General features: G+C 38.0%; 1 protein-coding gene and 1 non-coding gene across 13 annotated transcripts in view, besides 2 other annotated features; both read right to left on the bottom strand.

The window, feature by feature from the left end:
* The window catches only part of HECW2 (HECT, C2 and WW domain containing E3 ubiquitin protein ligase 2), a 399,483-nt gene continuing 373,198 nt past the window's right edge, over window positions 1,520-27,804 (bottom strand). For all 12 annotated transcript variants that reach the window (NM_001348768.2, XM_006712646.4, XM_047445197.1 and 9 more), the window contains 4 exons: window positions 27,487-27,601; window positions 24,456-24,541; window positions 23,313-23,425; window positions 1,520-8,836 (listed from right to left, as the gene is read on the bottom strand). In NM_001348768.2, the coding sequence (NP_001335697.1) occupies window positions 8,725-8,836; window positions 23,313-23,425; window positions 24,456-24,541; window positions 27,487-27,601 (426 nt within the window). In that variant the 3' untranslated portion in view covers window positions 1,520-8,724. The remainder of the gene's footprint in view (window positions 8,837-23,312; window positions 23,426-24,455; window positions 24,542-27,486; window positions 27,602-27,804) is intronic.
* Window positions 19,174-19,223: an enhancer, noted in NCBI's record as "active region_16899". NCBI's record gives its function as "activates an Ori minimal core promoter by ATAC-STARR-seq in GM12878 lymphoblastoid cells {active_cell/tissue: GM12878}" and the evidence as "EXISTENCE:reporter gene assay evidence [ECO:0000049][PMID:35858748]".
* Window positions 22,667-22,770, bottom strand: LOC124906154 (small nucleolar RNA U13). Its single transcript, XR_007088743.1, has one exon. It is a non-coding gene; the product is annotated as a small nucleolar RNA U13 (small nucleolar RNA).
* Window positions 27,000-27,200: a silencer, noted in NCBI's record as "peak4000 fragment used in MPRA reporter construct". NCBI's record gives its function as "represses an SCP1 promoter by STARR-seq MPRAs in K562 erythroleukemia cells {active_cell/tissue: K562}" and the evidence as "EXISTENCE:reporter gene assay evidence [ECO:0000049][PMID:32103011]".

The following is a 27,804-nucleotide window of genomic DNA, read 5'->3' on the forward strand; positions in this document are numbered from 1 at the left end:
GCCAGACTGGTCTCGAACTCCTGACCTCAGGCGATCCACCTGCCTCGGCCTCCCGAAGTGCTGGGATTACAGGCCTGAGCCACTGCTCCTGGCCCCTAGCTTTTCCTTTCTAAGTGAAACACCAGTGATTAAACATCTTTTGGAAGCATCTATCCATACAAGGATTTGAAAATAATAGGACAAATAAAGTGTGTGAAACTCATGTGTATCAAGGTAAACATTATATCTTTATCAGATGTTCTCATTTCTTTATTCTTGCGATTCCAAAGTTAACTTTGGCTGACAAATGAGGTATCTATTTAGAAGGGGAAAAAAAGTAGTTAATGGGTCAACATTTTTGAGCAAGAAAAGGAGGAGAAAAGTATGAAGAGACTTCAACTTCATACTTAAACTTTACTTCATACTTAAACCAGAATGTCTTTAACTGGTTTAAGTATGAAATAAAGAACAGTATGAAAGACTTCCTGGGATGGTGGATAGTGGGAATTATTCATTATTATTTGTTACTAAACTCTCACTAATTAAATGGGGTTCAGGATTAAAGGAAATTACGAAGGCAGATATATTTATCATTCTAAAAACACACTGAGGTCCAAGGATACAGAGGGATGTCATGGCACAAAAGCCAGAAGTCAGTGCTGTGAATCAGTATCTTGCTCTTCCCCCTCTTCCCCCTTCAATAACAATGTCAGACTTCAGTCGGTGATAGGAGATGAATCTTCTGCTTAAATGCTGTCATGTGATATATGAAGTTCATTTCTAGTGTAAAATATGTAATAAGAAGCTTAATGGCACACGTATTCCATGAAATCTTGACAGGGTTGCTCTTAACTCATATGAATTAACACAAGTTGGTTTTCACGAGTTAATTCATATAAATTAACATGAGTTGCTAAATACAGATCATTTTAAGGGCACCCCTTAGTGATTGACTGCCCTCATAGTGTGTAGAGATATATATATATACACACACACACACACACATATATATATGGCGCTATATATATATTCCCCATCTCTTTTTATTAACTGCCGTGTTTTAGTAACATTTTACTTATCTGGCCAATTTACACCACTAGTCAACTAAATATAAAAGATAATGTTATCCATTAAAACAAGGGTTCCAAACTGGTGACCTGCAGGGCAAATCAATGTGTAGCTATATTTGGTTTGATCCACCCACTACTAAAAAGATCTGGAAATATCACACAAAAATTTGGGTTTCTGGGTTTCCCTTGATATATTAGATCTTTTAACACTAGACTGGAATTTCATGTGGCTAGGATCTGCTGGAGCAAAATATTAGAATGTCCCTTTATGTAAGCCCTACCACTGTGTGTTGCTTCCACCTAGCCAATTTCACTCGTTAAATACCTATCTGGTCCCTGTAGGCATATGCACACGCGACCCCTAGATTAAATTGATGTGCGTGGTAGTGGTGGCGGCGGCAGTGGTGTGCCTATGTGTTTATAAATTAAACATTCAAATAAGATGGCTTAACAAATAGTCTCAACCCATGTGAGTTAAGAAATTATGATTTGTATTATAATTCATTCCTTTAACATTAACAGCCCATCAAACAGTAAAATATTCTTGTAGGGATAAACAAAGTAGATTCCAAACAAAATAAACAAATATTTTATTAATAAATAATAAAAATATAAATAAAAATAAACAAAATACTATAAATACTATGAAAACAGAACCTCCAATATTTATAGAGCTGCAAACTAATGCCATGAAATCTTTATCTCTACTTCTATTCTCCTCCCTTCTGAGTTTTCCCTCCCCAAAAGTATTACAGAAAAGTCATAATCTATTTTTTTTAAAGAAGATTTATTTTGGATTAAGTGATTTCATGATGCAACATGGTTTTAAACAAAAATAGAGATCAGTATGAAAATAAAACAAATTGTACACATTAAAATATCTTTCCCTCAAAGCATTTCGGAATCATAAAAAATACAACAAAAGAGTCAGGGGTTCAGTTGAGAATAAGAATACAGACTTCCCAGAAAATAAACAACTAGTCCCAGTTCAGAGTCCTAGGCCCCATATAATACCACCCAGAAACCATTTCTAGGATGTCAACAATCTGCATTATTTACTTTGAAAAAAAAATTACATATAAGGTGAAGTGAGAGCTGTATAACCTTAATGCTAACAGCAAGCATCTCCCATTATTATTCTCCATCAAAAGTCACATTAAATAAATATGAAGCTTAAATCAACGCAAAAACTGAAATACCACTATTAACTGTGACACACTGTGTGGTGAACGTAATGACTGAGGTTGGTGAAGAGAAATTAAAAGCTTAAAAAAATACACCACCTGTGTTCTACTGAAATCTTAGAAATAATTTTTTTACAGAGCCTTAATATTAAAAAGTAATCATTACTATAAAATTAGATTAATACTTTCAGTAAGAGGCGAGAGAGATGCATGTATTTTTATTCATTTATTTTGGAATGCCTGCATCCCTATTATAAAAACATGTAATTTTAAGCACTTTCCAACATATTAACAGCCCCAAATTTTACTTATGCTATCATATAAAGAAAAATAGGTTGTAATTTTATCTTTTAGAGCATTAGGGTCCTAAAAGAACATCCCATTCTGTGTTAATTCCTGGTTAATCCTTCCAAGGTAATTCCTGAACATCATCCATTCTTTTTTATGAAGGTGATAGTAACCAGAAGTTGACTGATGGTTCCTTACCTGCATCAGTAATAGCTGATTCAGTTTGAATCACACAACACGGCTATCCACACTCCTCAGGTTGTAATATCTTAAAAGTCATATAGAAAGATATCACCTGCCCAAGGGCACTACACATAAAAATCACATATATAAATTTAATTCTCCTGTGTTCCCCAGAAACCATACAACTAGGGCCATCTTATTCTGCTGAGCTGTTCAATTACGAAAGCCAAATAAACGACTCTGCAGATAAAATCTAAGCAAATCTATTTCCGGTCTTGATTAACTTCCTGACTTGGAAACACTAATTTAGTCTCCATTTGCAACCTCACTCTTAGGATTTCACTTTCCAGATTAACAGAGAGCATTTAAGTTATCTTTAGAAATCATGAAAATGTCTCAAATGCTATTCTAATGTCAAGGGATGTCCGCTAAAAAAACCAAATAAGTATAATGAAATAAAAGCACCCTTTCTTTCATTTCATACATGGTGTTCAATAATAGTAACAATAATTCTTAAATAAAAAAATCCACAACATAATTTTATGCTAAATTGTCAAATCTCCTGATCAAGCTATGGTTAGCTTTAATACTTTGGGACTAAATTCCACTTTGCAATACAGAAAATGTTAAATTACTGAAGTTATAAAATGAGGGTATTTCCCATCTAGTAGATCAAACTGTGCCTTCATCAGGGAGCATAGCTTTCTTCTTCTCAGTCTGAAACCAAATTGAAGTATGTTCCTACCCCCACCAGCAAGCCCTAAGATGATCCATCTACCGTTGTTTTAACTTTCCCTCCACTACACTCCTGTCCTAACCATCCTTTCGCTCCTTCTGACCCAGATGGCTATGATATGGACAGCACACACACGGTCATCCTTCCTGACAGCTCCTCGGAATGCAGTTACCACTCTGAATCTTGACAGTTGGTCAATAATTAGCATTATATTCTTGCGGGGTGGCACAACTGCTGGGCTCCTCTTTCCTCCTTTTTTATTTTTATCATCCTTTCAGTGGGCAGTAGCTGGCCTTAAGCCACAATTCAGAAAGCTTTAATGTCTTCAGCATTCCTTTGCATCCATACTAGACAAACAAATTAATTTGGAAAACACAAATGAATGGGAAAGAAACTAAGTTTTTGAAAATTAGAGTCTAAAAGTGACATTCTCATCAAACTCACGGCAGTAAGATGGAAGTAAAATGGCTAAGGTCCAGAGTGCTGTCCCTCACCTACTAAATCAGAAAGCAGACAAAACAGAGCAAGGCCCAGAGGCTCACGTCTGTAATCCCAGCACTTCGGGAGGCCAAGGTGGGAGGACTGCTTGAGCTCAGGAGTTCAAGACCAGCCTGGGCAACGTGGCAAAACCCTGTGTCTACAAAAAATATAAAAAAATTAGCTGGGCATGGTGGTGCATGCCTGTAGTCCTAGCTACTCGGAGGCTGAGGTGGGAGGCTGGCTTGAGCCTGGAAGGCAGAGGTTGCAGTGAGCCAAGATCATGCCACTGCACTCCAGCATGGGTGACAGCCAGACCTTATCACAAATAAACAAAAACAACTGCCAGCATGGTGGCTCACACCTATAATTACTCCTAGCACTTTGGGAGGCCAAGGCGGGCGGATCGCTTGAGCTCAAGAGTTTGAGACGTGCCTGGGCCTTGTCTCTACAAAAATACAAAAATTAGCCAGGTGTGGTGGTATGCGCCTGTAGTCCCAGTTACTCAGGAGGCTGAGGTGGGAGGATCGCTTGAGCCTGGGAGGTGGAGGTTGCAGTGAGCTCATGTGCCACTGCACTCCAGCCTGGATGACAGAGCCAGACTGTCTCAAACAAACAAACAAAGAAAGCAAAAGGCCCTGAAACTGAGACTCAGTTTGGAGATTAGACCACATTCTTCTTATGCATGTTTTTATTATGCAGGGTTACAGATACCTCTTAATAATGGCATTGCATCATTTCACATAAATACGGAGTTTCCTGAATAAGGTTAAATTGAACAGACTCCTATCTTCATTATAAGATATTTGCCTTGTTAGAAGTGGTCCAATCATAAATAAAATTTGTGAATTTTATCACTGGAACTCAGCTATTAGGGCTTACTAGATCCATCCCTATTAAAAATTTAAAAATAAAATAAGGCTTCTGATTAATGTTTTCCATTATCTTGTTTCCAAATAATACTTGAGAAAATTAAATGACTATTCTGTATAAATCCATCAAAAGCAATCACATTTTGCCTTCTGTTTTTTAAATTTCTCATGTCAAGTCATGAAATGCAAATAAGTCTACGGGGAAATTTTTTCCATGAATATACTAATTTCTTTATGGACTTTTCAGAAGGTGTCATATTTTAAATGTATCTGTTTAAGAAAGTGAGAGTTTGGAGGAAGCATCTTGGAAACCTCACTGAATGTGGAATATACTGGTACAAACATTAGTCTCCACATTTCTCAAGATGAAACACAGAATTGTGACTATGAAGTAATGAAACTGATGCCACAAGCCATCCATGAAAATCAGCCACAACCCAGATGGAACATGATGCTTGTACCCTACAAAGTGCGTGAGGAGCTAAACGGACGATGTACCTGACAGCACTTTGAAACTATAAAGCACTATGCAAGCATATTCTACCATTTCTTTCAAACACTTGAATGCATTTTTACCATTTCTGATTGTTGCACAGGTAAAACAGATTTTCCTTTATTTATTGCAGAATTTCTGCTAAATTATAAACGCAATATATGCTAGAAAATTGTGACCATACTTCTTTGACCAAGATCCATTCATTTTGTGCACAAGAAAAATGTTTTGACCCCAGAAGTGGTTTGGGCTCAGGGATTGGGATTTTTCACACTGAAAACCAATGGTGCATTGTAGAATAGATGAAGGGAAACAGGGAAACTTTCCCTGTTTTGGCATTTCACTGATAATTTCAAAATCTTTGAGTTGCTCCTTCACAGATCAGCTCCCTACACACTTTACACTCTCGTTGTGTAAGTGCATCCTGGCTTCAACACTTGACCAGTATTGACATACTATTACTTGCCATTGCTTCCCAATAGAAACAGCATTGATGTAATTTTTTTTAGCCACACTATCATCTATATATGAAGCCATTATTGAATCTCCCAGATGGAAAAAGCTGTTCTCTTCTCTCTTCATTCCTTGATTGTAGAACTTACCAAATTTTATTAAAAACACTTTTTTGAACCTTGGAGTCTACTCTACTACACTGTGAGCTGAGCTTTTCAAAGGCAGATTTAGACTCTTGTAGCTCCATCGTCAAACAAACATCAAACTGGCACAGAGGGAATGCCAATGATGTGCTTGTTCTCTCATCTAAGAGATGTTCTGCATACATATATGATGTATTAAGAGTGTCTTCTATAGTATAAAGAGCATCACTTAAAATAAGACCAGAAAGCCTAGTTATCTGGGTTCACAGTCCAGAAGAAAATATTTATGGATATTTCTAATTGTAGAGTACATGAAAGTCTAATTTATTCTGTGGAAATGTTATTTAATATTTTATATAGTTATTACTGGCTGTTTTGTTTTACTAAGAAAGAATAATAGATAAGTTAGCATGGTGTTCTGATATGATAAGTACATCTTTGATAATTCCCAATCTGAGAACAGTATCAACTAGATGATTATACTAATTAAGAATGTCTACATACATTAAAGTGTACTGTTATTTGGGAAAAAGTTGGATGCCTTAATAAAGAAATATATTTGTTAGAAATAATTAAAGAGATACATTTTATTTCAAATATCTTTTACCTAATAATATGAAATACCATAACTAAATGTCTCAAACCAAAATGAAGGATAACATGGTCTTTGAATGTATTTTTGAAAGAAATGCAACCTTTATCTGCTGCTTGGAGAATGCCAGCCCTGAAACATCTTGTATACCATCAAATATGTGACTTAAAAAAAAGTGTGTTATACTACTTTTCCTTATAATGAAAAGAATACAAACAAGTGAAAAGTTTGCAAAATTAAATATATACTTGTATTCATGATCAATAAGTACAAACTAACATTTCCAGTTAAAAGTTTTTCTTTTTTTCTCTTCCAATTATAGAATACAGAGAGCTCTTCCTTTCTTATTTCCAGATTTCTATAACCCTTTTTCAGAACATTTCTTCACACTGCAGTACGTGCCTTTAGTGCAGGAGTGTAACATAAGTGGTATTCCTCTTGAGGGTCCCAGTAGTAAACATAGCTTAACTCACAGGAGAGCAATCAGTTCTTACAAAACACCTATGAAAACTATGCATATGACCTCTATAAAATGTAAGATTGCCAACATCCCATAATAGGAATTCCATGGCTGCTTATAAATATAGATCTCAAAGAAATGTTTGGGCAATGCCTGTAAACCCATAGGCTGGCAAACCATATGTCAATCCAATGCTTTTATGACCCCCAATTTAACTTCACTCTATTGAAAATCTGATTAGTCAAGAAATAAACAAAGATGTGGAGTAATCCCAAAAGCAATTAAAATGAAGAATACCTTCTCATAAAATTAAGCAGAAGTAAGACTAGTGATGTCATGCAGTTTTGGAGATGCCATAGAAAAACTGTCTCTTAATATTAATAAGAAAATTATGCATCAGTGAAAATGCAGGCTTAGAAATATAGTTCTGAGTTTCAATTTGTGGTGTCTTCACTGATGAGGGAAAATGGAATTCTTACTACTGATCTCTTCAGTGTTGCTGATGGCTCCTTAACTGAGCTTAGTGTTTAATGATGCTGTACAAATAAAAAGCAGTGGGGGAAATACGAAATATCTGTATTAAATGCCATCCTGTAAAGTATTTGATGGATGGAAGAGAGTCTAATGCATTTTAAATAAATGCATATCATACTATCACATATAGTGAATCTTAAAAAATTATTACTTAGATGCACAGTCCTTGTAGTGGTAGACACGGCACTGTGAAGGAAGTTTGATTTAGAAGCTATTTTCTATTATACTTCTCAAGTGATGGAGTTGCTGTTAGTCATATTGTAATGTCCCTTCACCTTTGGTACATTCAGTGCAAAATATTTGGGGAATTTTTTTTACCTTTATAAAAATAAAAGGCCCTTTTGTTTCCTTGAGAGTGCTTAAAAGGATACATATTAGCATGATGCCCGAGTATGCATGGAACATGAAAATGGAATGAGTGATACATACAGCATGATAGGTAGGTTCTTATATACATCTTAAAGAACATAAACATAATGAACCTACAAAAAATAAACAGAACTCACTGTGTACTTTTTCCTGATATGCTGTGATTAATTGCTAGTTATTTTAAAATTGTTTTCATGCATTATAAAGCATAAAATCTGTCATTAGTAATTCACTGAATAATGGTTTGTCTTTAGCCATAATTACACACATACCACTTGCATATACATTGTCACAGACCATCTTATTGCAAATCTGTAAAGGTACCTCATATTGACTTGGTTTCATTTTCACTCATGTCCCATGAAAGCGGAAACCTATGGTGCACACCATGCAGGCACTCATAAGCAAGAAATGAATATTCTGTTATAACTTAGGGCTTAAATGAATGTACTTTCAGGAAATATATTTACTTTTATTATATTATTTAACTTGCTCTAATTTGGAGATTGGGCCAAATGCTGCCAGTTTGGCTTGAACCACGTTCAAGGGTAAGTTTCAAGATTCTCCTGAGTCCCTAAAAATTACCGTGGAGCTGATCATGTATGGGTTCATCTTTGTCTTGGAACATAACAAATGGAAAAAGTTTGGCAGTCAAGAACTGTTGATTGAAAGACGGTTGGGTTGTTCCCTGGGCATCAAGCTCACCCAAATCCTTCCAAGAGGACTCATCTCCAGTCCCCAAATGTGACAGAGCACTTGTTCCTGGAAAACAACAGCACATAGCTTTATCCTAAAGGAAGCATCCTCTTGAAACTTCCAATGTTCAATCATTCTTCTAGAAGGCAGCTTCTGAACCTGCCTGTCCACAGAGATGGGCATTCAGCTTCCAGGTCACTCAAGTCCAAAAGTACTGGTTTCTTCAACTGCTGTCAACAGTTTTTCATAAAGCATGGAAAAGGATGGGTAGGGAGGCAGATCCAGACGGTTAAAACATGTATGCGCTCTGAAAACACAAGAAACAGCACATAGTTTAGAACAGGCCGAGTGAAATGAAAATGTGTGTGGTGTGTGTGTGTGTGTGTGTCTGTGTGTGTATGACTGTCTTTCACATTCAAATTTATTTGTTGCCAATTTTCACACTCCTTTTGAAAAATCTTTGAAAACATTTTGACCTTAAAAATTCAGAACTGAATTTCTCTAAGGAAAAGAGGATATTTAAAAAAATATTTTATTTACATTTCACCACCATTTAAAAGCTATATTACATATAAATGACCATTTATTGAGTGGTCTAAGGATTACAAAGACAAGTTTGGTTTTTGTTTCTCTTTTGATGCTAGATTTTTTTTTTAATACACGGACATAAGGCCTTGCAAAGTAGTTCATTTTGAGTTGGCATATGCCTGGGTGTCTCTTCGATACTCTGTAGTTATGCATTTTTTCATTTTCTTGGACAGGGAAGAGGAGCCAGTGTCTCTGAGGGCCTGCCTCATGGCTTAGAGTCTTGGGAAATTCCCTGGCTGGACTTTTCTAAGTCAGTAGGCCATTGTTACTTCTTTGAATCCTGTGCTAAAATTTGCTTTCTCCCAATTCACAATAACAAAATAAGCAATTTAAATCATTACATTAAGTATTCTTTTTTAGAAATACTTCTTTTGCCAAGATAGGAAAAAAATATGTTTTCCTGTTATTTGCATCTGAATCACAATAAAAAATAGACAGTCTCCAAATAGTACATCTTATCAGGAAGCAAATCTGCACTTTTGACATGAAATAGGAAACATTCTATTCTGAATGTACAACAGCTTGTTTGGGGGACCTACATAACTTTGACTTAAAAAAAATACTCCTGAATAAGAAATTTTAGGAACTATGATTATTAACAAGCTATTTCTACAAAGTCACATGTCTATACTTTTACTCTGATAAATCCCTTTTCCTTATGAAATAAATATAATTAATATTCCTGGATGCAGTGTAATGTAGTGGGAAGACCAGAGATTTGCAGTTGGACATATTTGGGTTTGGATTCTAGCTCTATCAACAAGTGTGTGATTTGGAGTGAGTTATTAAAACTCTGAGCCCGTATTTCTCACCTTTAAAAGGGTGGTTATATAACTTGTCTGAGAAGGATGTGAGGATTAAGTGAAATAACAGAAACATGCTTAATAGAATGACTGGCTCATAGTGTTTGACCAATTAATAATAGAGGTATTGTTAGCTACATTTCATTACTATCAACAAGATTTGACTCTAATTGCCTTCAGTGAATTGCCACAAATAGTAATGACCCATGAGAATGATGAGATAATAAAGGGATAATAAAGCAGGTGTGTGGCCACATGGCTTATTAAAAACAGGAATGTGAACAGGATCTGTTATATTGTAAGAATACAGATAGAGTATTCCTTATCCAAAATGCTTGGCACCAGAAGTGCTTTGGATTTCAGATTTCTTTGGAATTTGGAATATTTGCATATATATAATGAGATATCTTGGGGAATGGGACCCAAGTCTAAACATGAAATTCATTTACGTTTCACATGCACCTTGTATACACAGACTGAAGGTAATTTTATACCATATTTACATAATTTGGTTCATGAAACAAAGTTTTGACCGCGTTTTTGACTGCACCCTGTCATATGAGGTCAGTTGTGAAATTTTCTACTTGTGGCATCATGTTGGCACTCAAAAAGTTTTGGATTTTGGAGCATTTTAGATTTAAAATTTTTTGACTAGGGATACTCCAACTGTATGAGTTTTAGGGTATAGAGATAGTACCGACTCACCCACTCCTAGTACTGTAAACTCTGGGATATATTGGTGGAAATCATCTAATGAATCTTTGCAGGCAAACCCTTTTTTGATACAATAAGCATTTCAGAATTGCATTTGATATCCTTAGACTGGAACGCAAATTGAGCCTCAAGAAAAGGTTTTACTTATTTAAAAATTCAACTTGTATACTACACTAGAGTCCTAGCAGTGGTTTATAATCTATCATCTGTGAAACACTGGAATAAAAATATTAAATAAAGATTTATCTCTGTTCCAGGGGTAGGGGAGGAAGAAGCAGAAAAGTAGAATACGTTTTGAATATAATTCTATGCCAAACTGTGTGTGTCAGACAAATAACATTTATTATCCTATTAGACTAACAGATGACACCACAATACTATTTTACAATTTTCATTTCTTTGGTTACCAATAAGGTTGAGCATCTTTCCCCCATGTCCTCTTGCTTTTTACATTTCCTGTTTTGTGATCCATATGTTCATCTCTCTTGCCCGATTAACTTTTCAGTATTTTTATTGTGATAAAATATACATAATATAACATTTACCATTTTAACTATATTTAAGTGCACAGTACCATGGCATTAGTACACCTACGTTATTTTGCAACCATCATCACTATCCATCTCCAGAACTTCTGCATCTCGCAAAACTGAAATCTGTATCCATTAAATAGTAACTCCCATTTCCTCTCCCCCTAGCCCCTGGAAACCACCATTCTACTTTGTGTCTCTATGAATTTCACTACCCTATGTACTTCATATAAGTGGAATCTTAAAATATTTGTCTTTTGTGATTGGCTTATTTCACTTAGCATATTTTAAGGTTGATGTTGTAGCATGGGTCAGAATTTCCTTCCTTTTTAAGGCTGAATAATGTTCCATTGTATGTATATACCACATTTTCTTTATTCATTCATCCATTAATGAACAGGAGTTTTTTTCCTACCGTTTGGCTATTGTAAATAATGCTCCTATGAACATGAGTGTACAATTATCTGTTTAAGTCCTCCTTTTCAATTTTTTGGGGGATATACACAGAAGTGCAACATCATATTGCATTTTTCATAGTGGCTGCAACATTTTACATTTCCATCAACAGTGCACAAGGGTTCCAATTTCTCTACATCCTCACCAACACTTATTTCTTGTTTTTTGTTTGTTTGTTTGTTTGTTTTATAATAGCTATTGTAATGGGTATGAAGTCCATTCACCTTTTAAAGCCTTAGGATTTCTTATTAAAATCAAGAGAGACTCTCACTGTTGTTGAATTTGAAGAAGGAAGCTACTATGAATTCTATAGCTGCAAGGAATGAATGCTGCCAACAACCCAAGGGAACTTGGAAGCAGATTCTTCCCTAGTTGGTCCTCCAAATGAGAATGCAGCCCCACCCACAGCTTGATTTCAGCCTTGTGAGACCATGAGCAGAAGACCCAGCTAAGCTGTGCCTGGATGCCTGCTCCATGAAAACAGTGAGATCATAAATGTGTGTTGTTTTACACTGCTAAATTTGTGGTAATTTGTTTTGCATCAGTAGAACCAGTAACAGGTCTCAAGGTAGTGAAACAGTTCAAGAAAAGGTGGCAAATGTGATGTTAAGTGTGATACAGTAGAATCATCTATCCAGGACAGGTGGTGAAACAAAGCTAGGGGTTGGCAACAGTTCTTTCATTCTCCCAGGTTTCTGAGTAGAGAAACAGGAACTTTGAATGTCTCTTTGCCATTTCTGTAGTATCTTTGCAGGTACTCTAGAAGCTTATCCAGTAAATCCACAAGCCTAAATACTCTTTTCAGTTCTCAACACAAAGGGAAGGCAAAGGGAAGGACTAGACAACCTTTTTTGTTCCTCTGCAGTCGTAAGACATAATCAGCATTACTAATCCATAATCTAAGGCTATTGCTGCTTCATAAATTACATCTGGTTGCATAATATATGGTTACCATAACACAACTTTCCTTCTAATAAACTAAACAGCTCCTCTGGAAAATATTTCGCGATGATGGGGAAAGCATATATTGTGGAGGGGGAAACTGTGTGGAAAGATTAAATGGTTTTCCCAAGGTCAAAGCTGAGTCAGTGGCCAAATCAAGAAAAGGACCTCAGTTCTGGGTCTCCTAGGGAAAGTCCAACATTAAACTGAAAGCGGGGAGATTAATGCTCATGGCTTCATTCTTTTACTTTTGGAAGCCTGAGTATTAATTTTATCCTACCTCTGACTACGAACTATTATTCCTCAACATCCTACTAGATTATCCACATTTTGAGGACAAGGATTGGCAAAATAAAGCTTCAGATATTTTTTAAATGAATAATTCAATCACAATATGCAGTAGCTCTGGGGAAAATGGCTGAGATTGAGTCAATCCAGAAAACCCTGAAAAATACCAGGGGATTTTTAGGTGATCATACCATCTAGCTCAATCTCAGGCTTAATAGAAGAAGGCAAATACTCAAAAGGATACTTTAGAGTGTATCAAAATCACTCCAGGAGCTTGTTTTACAATGGAGATTTTTGGTTGCACCCCTTGTGATTGTAATTCAGAAGGTTTGGGGTGGGCCTGGGGGAATATGCATTTTAATAAATATGCCAAGTGAGTCTGATGCAGGTGGTCTCCACTATTGGAGAGGCATCAAGTGGATTAGCAACATGATACCTACATTGGCTATTTGCACCAGTGTTTTATGTGCTTGCAGAAATTTCAAAACTCCTTATAAACAAGACAGCATTGCTAATAAGGAAATTGAGGAATAGTGTGGTTAAATAAATTGCCCAATATTTACCATCAACTTGCTCTATGAGCCAAGGCCAGGAAAAAAACAAAAAAAATGGCAAGCAACACATAATCCTTGGAGGCTTTTCACACCCCCACTCCCACCCCATTCCATGTCCTAAGAAAACTTTAGCAGAAAATAACAGGAGGGCCCTGGACTGTGTTGATGTTGGCAGCAAAAGTGCATCCAGCTATTCAGTCTCAATAAAAGAACATTTTTCAAATCTTTCAAAGCCAGTCACACTAAAGCTATAATGGGTTTACCTCATTTTAATCTATTTAGCCAGAACCACTCAAGGAAAGCAGGTCTGAACCCATCTTTGGGAAATCATGCTGGCATCAATATTAAGAAGATTTAAAAATTCTCCAGACATCTGGTCTGACTTAATAGATCTCTTGGTGCTTTCTGGATTCTTCAAAAATGTTAATCAGGAGGTCACATGCTTACCCTCCCTTTTTCCCTACAGATAGACAAGTCAATTAGATAAATCCAGTGAGCCAAAAGTATCAGTTACATTTCCATTTCCATAGATTGGTTTGTTGATTAATTTCTCTCTCTGTATGTGAATGTACTTAATTTTCCAATTTGCATTATATTTCATTTATTCCTTCACTCGCTGAATAAGTACTTACTAAGCATATACTCCATGCCAGGGATTCAGCTGTCCTCTGAGAGATGAGGATGAAAAGTCTGGTTTCTGTCCTCAAGGAGTTTACACTGTGGCAGCAAAATATACAGGCAAAAAGACCCTCTAAAGTTTGTGTATCCTGTGCTCTGGGGCAAGCAGGAACTGAAATCCAGCCTTCCTTTGGCTCTGCTTGCCAAATTGTGAGCCCTAGCTGCAGGCTGCATTTCTCCAAAAGGCTAGGAGACACCTTTGTTTCATTAGTCCCAAAGATGGGCTATTAGTGGCCCTGCATACAAACAGTTAATAATACTATGAGTTACAAGTTTGCTCAGCAGAGCCAAGGAAGGTTCATAGAGGACACTATCTGTGCCAAGGCTTGAAAGATTTGTAGGTGTGCAGGTTTTCTCTGAATCAACAACAAGGAGAAGGATGTTCCCAGCAGATGGAACATGACATTGCATCATCAGGAAACCTGAGAGGGGCAAGCGCCTAAGGGACAGGAGGCAAGGTTGGACCTGAGGCCAGATGGGGAGGCAGGGACACATCAGGAAGCCAGGAGTGTTCTTGCAAAAACCTTTTCCAGTTATTTCATGGATGAAAGAAAGAAAAGTGGGTTGGCAGAGGTATCTTTAAATAAGGCAGGGAATATAGGAAATGGGTAGAGGGACAGATGATGAATTCAAGGGCGTGAAATCAGCATGAGAAATCCAAAGTTACCAATTAAATAGAGTGATCGAATTCCATTAAAGGAATCCAGTTATAGTTTTGTTAGCCTGGGTAGCTTTATTAACACAACTAATGGTAAAACTTGTTAGAATTTTTAAAATATTCATAATTTATCTAATATCCTCATGAATACCTTCTTAGGCCATGAGGTTTAGAGCAGAAATTCCTATTAAGAGTAGGGCACAAATATGTGTGTAACTTATGGCAGCAGAGCACAATGCCCTGACCTTCACCAGGTGTTCGGTAAAGGTGAATTCATGGAAAGAAATTCTATGGTGCTTGCTATTCCAACTACTCATTGGTCATGTTCCATTTTGGGACCAATGATGTTGGTTATCTGTTCATGTAAATATCCATTGCTTCTCTCCCTGTGTTTTAAGGTCAACGTATATCTCCCACAAGGTTCGGCACTTAGTAAAGCCATGAGGAGTATCTATAGACGGGTGAGGGGAATTAATCTATTCACTAATTAATGTCTTATTCCAAAGTCTCATTAGGTCACTTTGGTTAAGGTGCACTTGGATCTGTAAATACAAAGTGGAATATTCCCATAGGGGGGAATTCCTGTATCTGGGGTAACTAGCAGAAGAAACTCTTCAAACTATGCATTCTGAGCAGGTACCTTCTTCACTTGTGAATGCCTCTGGGGAGAGATAAAGAGGGTACATACTTTTCAAATGTAAGAATTTAAACCAAACAGAACAAAGTCCAGTAAGGACAGTTCCAGGAATGGAAACCCCTGTAAGTCCAAACAAAATACAAACACGCTGGGTGAATATGGCACATTTCTCACACACCTAAAGACTATAAAGTATCCGGCCAGCCCTGAAGGCTAGATATTAGGAAGAATAGTAAGAATGGCTAAATTTATTGAATGATGTTTTAGGCCTTATTCTAAGCACTTTGCATGTTATCTCATTTAATCTTCAAAACAACTTTGTAATATAAATGCTAATTTCTATCCCAACTTTTCAGATATGGATACAGAGATATGAAAGTCTGGATTATGATTTTGGAATTTCTTGTCTGGAGTGGTCCAAAGTTATCCCTAAAGATTTCAAATTCACTAAAAACAATATTTATGGAGTACATGTGCTAAGCACTGGGCTCACTGCTAGGAGCAAAGCCATGTTTAATTCAGATAAGGTACTTGTTCTCACAGGATTATACTCCAGAGGAGGAGACAGATAATCAACAAGTAAACCAATAACTGAACATGATGACTGAATTGGGTCAAGCCTAGTGAAGGAAGTAAGGGGTGAAAGAGTGACAGGTGCACTAAGGACAGAAGCCTGGTGGGCCTTTCTCAGGAGATCACCTCTAACCCGAGTCTTGGGGACAAGAAAGAGCCAGGCATGAAGGACCAGCAGATAAGTGTTATAGGCAGCAATTCCCTGAGCCTTGAAGCATAATTGAGTTTGGCATATTTGAGGAATACACAGAAGGAGGCTGGTAGGTGTCATGGGTTGGGGGAGAGGGTACATGTTGAGGTTGCAGGAGGAGGCAGACCAGGGCCCCACAGGAAGTCCTTGGGAAGGAGTCTGGATTTTATTCTAAGCCACCAGAGGGTGTAGGCAAGGGAGGGAGGTGACCTTGAGATGTTTGCAGATCCCAGTGGTTGTTGAGTGCAGAATGAATGAATGGTGGGATGCAGGAGAAGCAGGGGATTTAGCCAGCAGTCTACTGCAGTAGTCCAGGTGAGGGGGGATGGTGTCATGGACTAGGCTGGTGGAAAGAAATGAGCCCAAACTGGTTTTTGCTCTTGAGGCCAAGGAAAAGTGGGTAAGCATTCTTTAACTGTTGCAATGTCTGTCACTCACAAATAGACACTTTAAAATCTGACTTGTGAAATAGCTCTCAAGGACCTTTAGTAGATTTGACTTGGACTATCCTGTCCTCTGTTGTCAGCAGCAACAATGCTGATGGAATGCAAGTGGAATGATTATCTCATTCCATTAAAGTCACAAATTCTTTCAATAGCTTGACGTTTTACATTAATTACAGAAGAGTCCCTTTTTTTAATACAATCTGTTTTTATGATAAATTTACCCACCTCCCAAAGTAAAGACCAATCCAAAAGGTATATGACATTTAAGAATCTTTAATATGGTGATGTGATGGGTTAACTCTGGCATGTTTTTGTTAGTACATGCAGATTCAATGGCAGAATAAAGTGAAAATTTAAAATACAGTTATATAGAACTGAGTGAGAGGGCAGAGGGGAAAGGAGTTGAAGAGAGTCTTGGACCTGAGGTTCAACTACAGAGCAGACCACTGTATGAGAATCTCCTGTCAATTCTCTCCCACACGAAAAGCCACATCAGCTCATCAGCAGGCGGTAGGGAATTAGGAAGACCAACGAGGGACACCTCAGGGCAAATATAGAAAGGAGATGGCCCCAAAGGGTCCTTCTAGTACTCATCTCTTGTTCTGATGGTTTTTCTTTCTTTCTTTCTTTTTTTTTTTTTTTTGAGACGGAGTCTGGCTCTGTCGCCCAGGCTGGAGCGCAGTGGTGCGATCTCGGCTCACTGCAAGCTCCGCCTCCCGGGCTCCCGCCATTCTCCTGCCTCTGCCTCCCGAGTAGATGGGGCTACAGGCGCCCACCACCACGCCCGGCCAACTTTTTGTATTTTTAGTAGAGACGGGGTTTCACCATGTTAGCCAGGATGGTCTCCATCTCCTGACCTCGTGATCTGCCCACCTTGGCCTCCCAAAGTGCTGGGATTACAGGCGTGAGCCACTGTGCCCAGCCTGGTTTTTCTTTTAATTGAGGAAAGTGACATTGTATTTCAGGACTTGGTTATTTTCCGGTATACTGGCTGATAATTCACTTTGACAGTAGACAATGCTCCCTATAATGGAGGAGGGAAAACTGAATTATTGATAACATTACAGAGCAATATTTAATGACATGGAAAGATGTTCCATGTGATAAACGGAATGTTGTTTTAAAATGTGTGTGTGTGTGTATGTGTGTGTCTGTGTGCCTGTGTGTACCTGAAGAAATGAGTGAAATCACATACTCTAACATGTTAACAGAGCTTATCTTAGTAATTGACTTTTTTTTCCTTCAGAAATGGTATCTCTCTATGTTGCTCAGGTTTGACTCAAACTCCCATGCTCAAGCCTTAGCCTCCCAAGTACCTGGGACTCCAAGCATGCACCACCATGACCAGCTAGTAGTGGACATTGGGTGGACATTGGATTGATACATATGTAGGTATTTTAATATATATTTAATATATACATATATTTCTTAGCAATTTTTTGTAAAATTTTCTTTTTATAAATTAGAATAAAAAGCAGATTTTTTTTTCTTTTGAGATGGAGTCTCACTCTGTCACCCAGGCTGGAGTGCAGTGGCATGATCTTGGCTCACTGCAACCTCCACCTCCTGGGTTCAAGTGATTCTTCTGCCTCAGCCTCCCGAGTAGCTGGGATTACAGGTGCACACCACCATGCCTGGCTAATTTTTGTATTTTTTTTTTTTTAAGTAGAGATGGGGGTTTCACCATATTGGCCAGGGTGGTCTCAAACTCCTGACCTCAAGTGATCTGCCTGCCTTGGACTCCCAAAGTGCTGGGATTTCAGGTGTGAGCCACTGCACTCTGCCAAAAAGCAGAATTTTAAAAACAAAAAGTTGTTATGTTTTTAAAAAATAATTTTATCTTTTAAAGTTCTATTCCATTAGATTAACTGTCTCCATAAGACATCTATTTCATAATTAACTCTTACAATTTATTTCTTAATTTCAGTTAGCATTTCATTCATAATAATCTCCAGACACAGCCATTTTCAAAAATTAACGCTTTTCCCTTTGGCAATAACCAACACACCCCCATGACGATTGCAGCTCTCAGGTCCTCCGTCCCATCACCCAACTTGGCAAGAACCTGGGGGATGAACACAGAAACTCACACCATGGTGGGAGACAGGACTGCTCTGCAGTTTTCAGGCTGGCATCTTAGCAGCGCATTTTTTGGACTGTTTGAGAGCAATTGCCACAAAGTGAATGTACTCTCTTTTCATAAAGTCCATCAGAGCACCAGGGGTATGAAGTCTTCCACAGAAATGCAAAATACAGAGCTAACCACCGACCGCGAAGCAGAGGAAGTGCAGTCATGTGCTCAGGCTGTAGGTCTCCATGGAGACACCCTTCTGTCTACATCCTTATTTATCATCTGGGTCTCTAGTCACTTCATAACCACAAGAGGAAAAAAGAGCCATGGATTCAACTTGCACTGGCTGCAGAGACAACCATATATACTTTTATATACTCCTTGACTCATACTGTGAGCAGCGCTATCCACTGCTACCGCAAAGTGAGACTAGGAAATCTGAGAAAAGAATGAGACTCACATTTGCCTGCTTGAAAATTGAAAGGCCCTCCATCATCCTTGTCTAGAAAGACTAAGATTCTCTCCCTCATTGCTCCGGTTGCCAGGACTGCCCTCATCCTTTACAGCCCCTCCAACCCTCCAGGGCAGAAACTCCCATGCCCGACACAAGACCATGCCAGACTTCTTAGAGGATTCTTTTTTTTTCTTTTTGAGACAGAGTCTTGCTCTGTCGCCCAGGCTGGAGTGCAGCATTGCCATCTCGGCTCACTGCAACCTCTGCCTCCTGGGTTCAAGCGATTCTCCTGCCTCCCGAGTAGCTGGGACTATAGGCGTATGCCACCACGCCCAGGTAATTTTTGTATTTTTAGTAGAGACAGGGTTTCACCATGTTAGCCAGGCTGGTCTCAAACTCCTGACCTCAGGCAATCCGTCCGCCTTGGCCTCCCAAAGTGCTGGGATTACAGGTGTGAGCCACCATGCCCAGCCAGGATTCATTTTTTAAGTAAGAAGGACATCTATCCATTTTTCTCCCATGTGTGCAATGTAATTTTTTTTTTAATTTTAAGTTCAGGGGTACTTGTGCAAGTTTGTTATAGAGGTAAACCTGTGTCACTGGGGGTTTGTTTTACAGATTATTTTGTCACTCAGGTATTAAGCCTAGTACCCATTAGTTATTTTTCCTGATCCTTTCCCTCCTCTGACCCTCCACCCTCCATTAGGCCCCAGTGAGTGTTATTCCCCTCTATGTGTCCTTGTGTTCTCATCATTTAGCTCCCGCTTGTGAGAAGATGTAGTATTTGGTTTTCTGTTCCTGTGTTAGTTTGCTAAGGATAATGGCCTCCAGCTCCATCCAGGTTCCTACAAAGAACATGATCTCATTCTTTTTTATGGCTGCATAGTATTCCATGGTATATATGTACCATATTTTCTTTATCCAGTCTACCATTGATGGGCATTTAGGTTGATTCTGTGTCTTTGCTATTGTGAACAGAGCTGCAATGAAGATACACATGCATGTGTCTTATAACTGAATGATTTATATTCTCTTGGGTATATACCCAGTAGTGAGATTGCTGGGTTGAATGGTATTTCTGTTTTTAGATCTTTGAGGAGTTGCCACACTGTCTTCCACAATGGTTGAACTAATTTATACTCCCACCAATAGTGTATAAGCATTCCCTTTTCTCTGCAACCTTACCAGCATCTGTTATTTTTTTGTACCATGTCACATTTTAAATGTTAAACATCATTTCACTCATAGGAAAAAGAAATACACTGGGGCCAACTAGCTTGAGACAGACCAGCTCTTCCATTGTGCAACTTAACGCCTATCAAAAAATAGCAGAAAAATGGCTTCAGTGTATCTGTTCTGATGGTAGGAGAAATGGACTTGATAATATAAAAGAATCTCTTTAGGCCAGAACCAATTTTACAGATCTTTTTTTACACCTAAGTAATGCCCCACATTTCATTAAGGGTGATGACAATGTTGTCAATGAAGAAGTTGCTTCTCATATAACTATACTGTCATGCAATTAAGTTCTTTTAATTTTTTCCCTCCGAATGTACTTTTATTCTTTGTGGAGCCAATGTTAATAGTTAAAGTAGTACAGTGGCTTACAAAAGTCAGGATAAAAAGTTAAAAAAGAACAAAGTAAACACAGTGTTCCTAAGCCTTTCATATACATTATCTTACAATTGTCAAAAATACTCTGAACATTGTTACTCCTACCTTAGAGGGATGGATCTAGGGTTTTGCTTAGGATGATGTAACTAGTGTGTCATAGGGCTTAGATCTGTGCTCCTGCGTGTTACCTGGGTTACATAAGGTGACTGCAACTCTGAAGCAGAAAAGCCAAGTAACTCTTTCTTCTCATCAGACCCCAAAAGATGGGGCTTGTTACGGAGAGGGTATGAAAAGAGGCTGCTTGCTCAATGTGCCTAAGACCATCTTTATTTGTGCTGTTTTATAATCTGGGTAAAACTAGGAATGTAGAAGCAAACTTAGGTCATAGTGAAGACAGGGAGAAAGGACAGTGCCTGTTACCCAACTGTGTGTATGCTACAATAATGAAGAATACCACCATTTACAATGAGTTAGCACATGAACTTCCTGGAGCTCCAGGGGGAAGCAGAAATGCAAATCCAGCCTGACCCTCAAGATTCTTCAGCAACCCTTCGGTGTTACTTCTTGCTCAACCCAACCTAATATACCACCTCCTCCAGGCCTGTTACAAATGAGAAAATCAAGGCTCAAAGATGAAGTGTTCTCTAAGGTCCCAGAGTTAGCTGGTGGCAGAGGTGGGACTAGAAGCTAGGTCTTTTAACTCCTACCCCTGCCCTCTTTCCAATATGCAAATATCCTGCCTGATATGTATTACAGATGATGGTGACAGAAATCACAATGGCAGCGATCACTGACTGGATGCTTACTCATGGCCAGAGACAGTATTAAGTATTTTTCATGAATGATTTCACATCATCCTCAGAATTTCAAATCCACCAGATAGATGAGGAAACAGAGGCTCAGAAGGATCATGCAACTTCACCAAGACCCTGCTGCAGGTAAGTAACAGAGGTGGGACTCAGCCTAGGTCTCTCTGAAGCTAAAGCTCCAGGTCTATATCAAATTACTTGTCTCTACCCATCAGGTTTGGTGAAAATTACAGTGATTAAATATGAACAGTGGACATATCTGCTTACTGTTGCACTTTATTCCATATACTTTAGTGGCTTTACAGAAATAGATTTCAACAAAAAGCTGACCATTAATCTACCCTTTCCTTCTTCAATGCAAATTCTTAAAGAGTTTCTCAGAAGAGTAAAAAGCCTTATTCAGATAGGCTAAATCTGTTGATTTATGTGTTGAAGGGGAGAAAACTCATTATCCAAGCATAAATAAAATGAGCTAGTTCTTTAAATAATGAAATCAAATAATGAATTCCCAGATTTGGAAATCAAATATGCCAGGTAATACTTAGGTGTCTGGATGCACAGCCTGTTCAGACTGTGATGCGTGTGGGGTGGCCAAGGAGGCTCAGGCAAACCCTTGAGCAGTCATTCTTTATCGCTCTCTCCATTTGTATTTTCAGCACCCTTTTTCTCATCTGTTGATGCTGACAATACAGTTCTTAAGAACTGGCATCTTTCAATTGCTAAGAAGAAAGCTTTGATAACAGATTGCTCAGTTGCTTGTACTTAAAGAAACAGATGACATCTTGGGGTACCTAATGTCACCTTATATAGTAACAATAATATCACCTAATATCACTAATAAAATAGGTTTCTCAAAGTCATCTATACTTCAATTTAGGATAACATCTTGGGGTACCTAATATCATTTAATCTCTCTAGAGTATAGTTGTATTATTAGTAAAGTTAGAGGCAATTTCAGCTCCTTTTTACCTCAAAAATGCTACAGTATTACTACTAATTGGATAAAGGAATTCTAAAACAAATTTTCTTCCATTCCTCTTTTGTTCATATGCTCCTTTTCTGTTGCTCCAGCTCCAGTTATCTCCACTCAATCTCAAACACTTTTTGTACTAGTCCTTGCTTCTATTTTCCATATCAGATGGGTAATGTGTGGACGTTGTAATAAGGCTTGAGGGTGGCACATCTCACATATGTGCATGAACACCCAATTATCACACTGACAAATTGCAAAAGGATCAGTCTTTTGCTTTTATTAGCAGCAACAGCAAAGCATTTTTTTTCTATTCTAAGGAAATATGTAATCTTACTATGAATGAGAATACAATGCAGAGAGCATGGAATTAAGACATGTACGAGACAGGCTAAAGAGATCTAGAGCACATCCACATTATCTAATATCCTTTAGAAACTACAACGGTAATTTTTACTGAAGGGATTCTAAATAGTTATAAAGTTAAAACTCAAGCTTCTGGAAACACCTGATTAGAGCCACAATCATAAGCCACAAGCATGATAACCAACGTCGCTTTACTGATGCTAACAAATACTTTGCTTTTGTTGTGTTTTGTATTTTAAGATATGGATGTATGTATTTTAAGTGTGACCAGAGAGATCTTTTTTCCTCTTCGTTTAGAAAGGTTATCAGGGAGAAATTCATTCTAAGAGCTTTTCCGCTCTCCCAAACTTTTAATATAAAAGCAGTAATTAATCAATATATACATAAATGAATGTCTCCACCAAATGTTGTGACAGTAAAGAAATGTTATTTTATATTTTACCTGGGAAGAGCAGTGATTTTCCCCCATTTCTCCACACAGAATCTTCTTGGGCCGTTACTCCCTCGGAGTGAAGCAAATCCTTCATAGGGAATGCTGGATGTGCCTGTAACAAACTGTCAACCCAAGAAAACAGAAGGAGAAGGTGAAGCCAGAGACCAACAGCCAGGAAAGGCATCACGTCATTCACGGGCAGAGCTCCTGAGGAAGAGCAGGCAGGAAAGTTCTGAAGACAAAACTTCACAGGTGTGGAATAATCACAACACAATTCTGACACAGAGCCAGAAGATAATACTAAGAAAGAGAATACTGTGCATGATAAAGGGAAAGGGGATGTGGAGGGTTTGTAGAAAATAAAGCACCTGATGCAGCTGACCAGCTCAGAAGCTTAAACCGGGCACATTTCCCACTATAGATGAATAAAGTGGGATCAATTAACCCGAGTCAACTTAGCATCAGTCCTTGATCAATGTCGGGTGAATTTAAAAAAGAGAATGTCTGGGCCTGCAATTTTGAGGCCCAGACCCTTAATCCAAAGGAGCTAAGATCCAAAGGAGCTAAGAGTACTTGTAAGGCTCTGCCTGAGCATCCAGAGACTTCCTTGTGTCTGGTATTTCTATAGCTGCAACTGATCAGTAATTGTCCTGGATGACCATAAACACCACACGCAAAAAAAAAAAAAACACAAGTTAGTTTTCCCACTGTTCTTGAATGTCACTGTTTTCTCAAATTTGTGGAAAGTTAGATGAAAGAGAAGAAAGGACTGTCAACTAACTGCATCCCTTTTTAAAGAACTTAAAATCATTTCTTTCTGCTGCTAGGGATGCCGGCCTGCACTTTGGGTACCCTGGGTGCTTCTTGCTGAAGGGTCCAAGCTGTCCTGAAGGCAGATGTTGTTACTGGGATTCTTGGACTGGACTTGACACTTCCCTAAACTCTCATGAAATGCTTTAAGTTGGCTTAGGGAAGTTCTGAATAGCCATGGAGTCACATAACCATGCAATCAGGAGTCTGGAAATGGTGTATCTCATATTTCCAGATACACATGGTATGTGTTTATGGAGAATAGTTAGCAGTTATTAAAAACATACACTTCCAACAATAATCATATTGATACATTTAAAAGATTAAATAATGGCATCTCACCTGTAACAACCTTAGTCGTTGTTCATTGTTGAATCTTTCCACTGCAGCCCAGAACCACCGAATTACAATATGATTGTCATGGTATCCTATCAAACCAATCATAAAAGCCCATGTTACTTTGACTCTTCTATATTAAGCCACCAAGATACGTGACACGAAGAGTCCCCAGACATAAATCATCCTCTTGAATTCTTTACAAGTTGTCTATAATTTTAAGACTAAGGAATAACACTGTATATATGATCATATGAATGTCAAAAGTTAAACAAAAACAACATTAAGTGAAACCAAGAGGTCTCTGTTTTCATTTAACGGTCACTAAGTGAAACTAGTAAAGAGAAGAACAACAAATGAGTTATTTTAACCATATCATTTCTGTAAAATACAACAGTTGTTACTGGAAATACTTAACTCTTTCGGTCATTCACATAAGAAATAATTTTCAAATACCTCTATGCCAAGCACTGTACCAAGGTTGGGGGCATAATGGCAAAGAAAACAGACCCTCCCAGGGCTTCTGGCAGAGGGGAGACACATTAATCAAATAATTTATACAAACAAATACATAACTGCAAGCTCTCTTAAAAGCTATATATAATATTCATACTTTAAAATCAACTTAGTTTCACATTGACTTACTAATAAAAAGGGAAAAGTGACCTTTAGTTCCTTAAATAAATCCTGAGTAATCACCAACTTAATTTTACTCTTATTCCATACTTTAGTAGAATTTAAGAAAATGTCAAAGGAATCACCTCATGGGCAGTGATGATGGATTCCAAAAACCTTTCAGTGAAAACAAAAATTAAATTCAGAGAAAAGGCTAACAAGGATTTAGTGATTCAAACCAATGAATAGACATAGTTAATGGGCACTGAGTTAGTAGTCCAGAATAGAAGGCGGGTAGAAATTATTTTAATCCAAATTTTTCCTCACATTTCAGTAGTTGTAGGATTTGGGAGGAATCTCACCTTACTGTTTACCATTTCAGTGATGTTTAGTCCCCTTTGGAGAAAAAAAGGATCAAAGAGAAGGCTGATCAAAACTGGATTGAACATGAGGACACATGGGCCATGCCCAGAGTTTGGTGAAGACTAGCAATTTGGTACTGAGCAAAGTTTCTCATCTACAAAAGAAGTGCACTGGCTCTTTGTAGCTTTAAAGTTTTTTGACCTTATGAATTAGCCCTTTTCTGCTTCCCTTTTGCTATTTGTGCCAAACCTTTTGGAGGAAGAAGAGTGAATGTGTCTCATCATATTCTCTCCTAGCAGCTGGGGTGTGAACATATGGCAGGTGGCAGCCACACAGCCGCTTCTTTACTCAGTGCCAAGTAGCTGGGTGAGCAAACATGGCAGCTGAGGTTCTCAGCATTTTTCTTCCCCCTCCCAAAGATTTCATTTGATAAGATTTACAATAACCATATAAATAGGTCCTTGATTAGTCAGATTTAGTGAATAAAATTTTATGCCATGAAAATACAAAAATGGCTGATTCTATTAATGCATTGCTATTAGAATCTCCTGGGTCCGGGCGTGGTGGCTTACACATGTAATCCCAGCACTTTGGGAGGCCAAGGCAGGAGATCGCTTGAGGCCAGGAATTCGAGACCAGACTGGCCAACATGGTGAAACCCCATCTCTACTAAAAATACAAAAATTAGCCAGGTATGGTGGCATACACCCTCTGTCTGAAAAAAAAAATTCATCTCCTGGAAGGAAAGAATGAGCTAATAATATTTATGGTAAAATATAACTTATGTAGCATGTCAGAGAAATTGTGCTCTCAGTAAAAATCGATGGGTTAACAACATTATAATAACCAAAGAGATACATGGATTATACTTGGGCCAACTGGAAAATACTTATTTCAGCAATTGGACTTCAGAAATAGAAGCAATGGAAACTGCAATTAAATACAGCCTTTCAGATTAAATGTGTGAGCAAGGCCAGCCCATGGTGCAGGGATGAGCTGGAACAGGCAAGCACAGGCATAACCAAAAGCAATTTAGCAAATGTTAAGGCATTTTTTTACTACAAACTTTTAAAACTACCTTTTTTAAAAAAAATCTCTGCTTCAACTTAGAGATAACTAGAGAACTGTTCAGCTCTCAATTTACTCTGCTAAGTGATTAATTCAGTGATGTTAGGTTTGTAGTTTTCATTCTCCAAGTTCAGAACTACTTCTAATCTCTTATACTTTGAGTTAAAAAACAAAACCCAAAGGAGAAAACAACTGGTATTTGTCATGAATTTCTGAAGGCTTCCTAACATGGTGATAATTTTCAGAAAATGTATTCTTTGCTTAAAATTATTTAATAAAACCTTAACTCTGGGTTACCACCAGGTCCCTTGCAAAGTGTTGGTTTAACACTCAAATTTCAATGGCTTTGGTCCCAGTTACTAATCAATAATTTGTACTGATCTGCAGAAGTGTCACTTTTTTAGCTTCCCATTTTGTGAAGTGTCAGATAGTGCAGTTTTTAATTAATCTTACTACAGTCTTCTTTTCACTTGAAATTCATGCTTGAATTTAGAACTTCTCCAATAATGTTGTATTTTGGGAACTGTGTCTTATTCCATTCAAGTGTTCTGACTATGAATTACAACTGATAAGGAGCGTAGTGAACAGTGGAAAAACTGTGCTGATTGGGAAGCTCAAAGGGTGTGCTTTTCTAAGTTTTAGAAACAAAATGGAATAGGTGGAGTTTGACCAGCTGGATGTTAGCTCCTTGGTGCTTCACTGACAACACGATAAAGTAATTAATTAGTGTTCTTACGGTCACATTTCCTCACCAACAATTAAGAGTTATGACATCCTTTGACGGTGTGTAAACAGTCCTTCTCCCATCTGACAGATGAGGTAATTAGGAAAAGAAGAGAATGTACCTTGCCCAAGGTCTCAAGGGAGCCTGCATCAGACCTATGATTAGAGTCCAAGTGCTGTTGCCTGTCCTATATTCAGTTGGCAAGCTGAACCATGCCTTCCTTTAATTTGAAATTTAAAATCTAGCCATCTATAAATCAAATTTCACCTCCTCTATATTCTGTGTTGTTTCTCCAATCACTTAGGTCTATTTCAGCTGTGCCTGCGATGACCAATTCCAGTTCTCTTGCATCAAAAACAGATACCAGCCTGGCATCCACCACCTGTGGAATAAAAAGAGTACAAGGCATGGCTTAGGAGCCTGGAGAAATATCAGCTATAATTAAGCCTTAGAAAAGGGGACACATGGAGTTTCAGGAATAATATGTGTGTACCTTGTGTTGGCACTTGAAAACCTGTAAAGCTCCCTACAAATATAAGGCATTCTTTAGTATAAGGTTGATGAGATTTGCCTTGACAGAATTTT

Source organism: Homo sapiens, chromosome 2, assembly GCF_000001405.40.
Source record: "Homo sapiens chromosome 2, GRCh38.p14 Primary Assembly".
Classification (NCBI taxonomy): domain Eukaryota; kingdom Metazoa; phylum Chordata; class Mammalia; order Primates; family Hominidae; genus Homo; species Homo sapiens.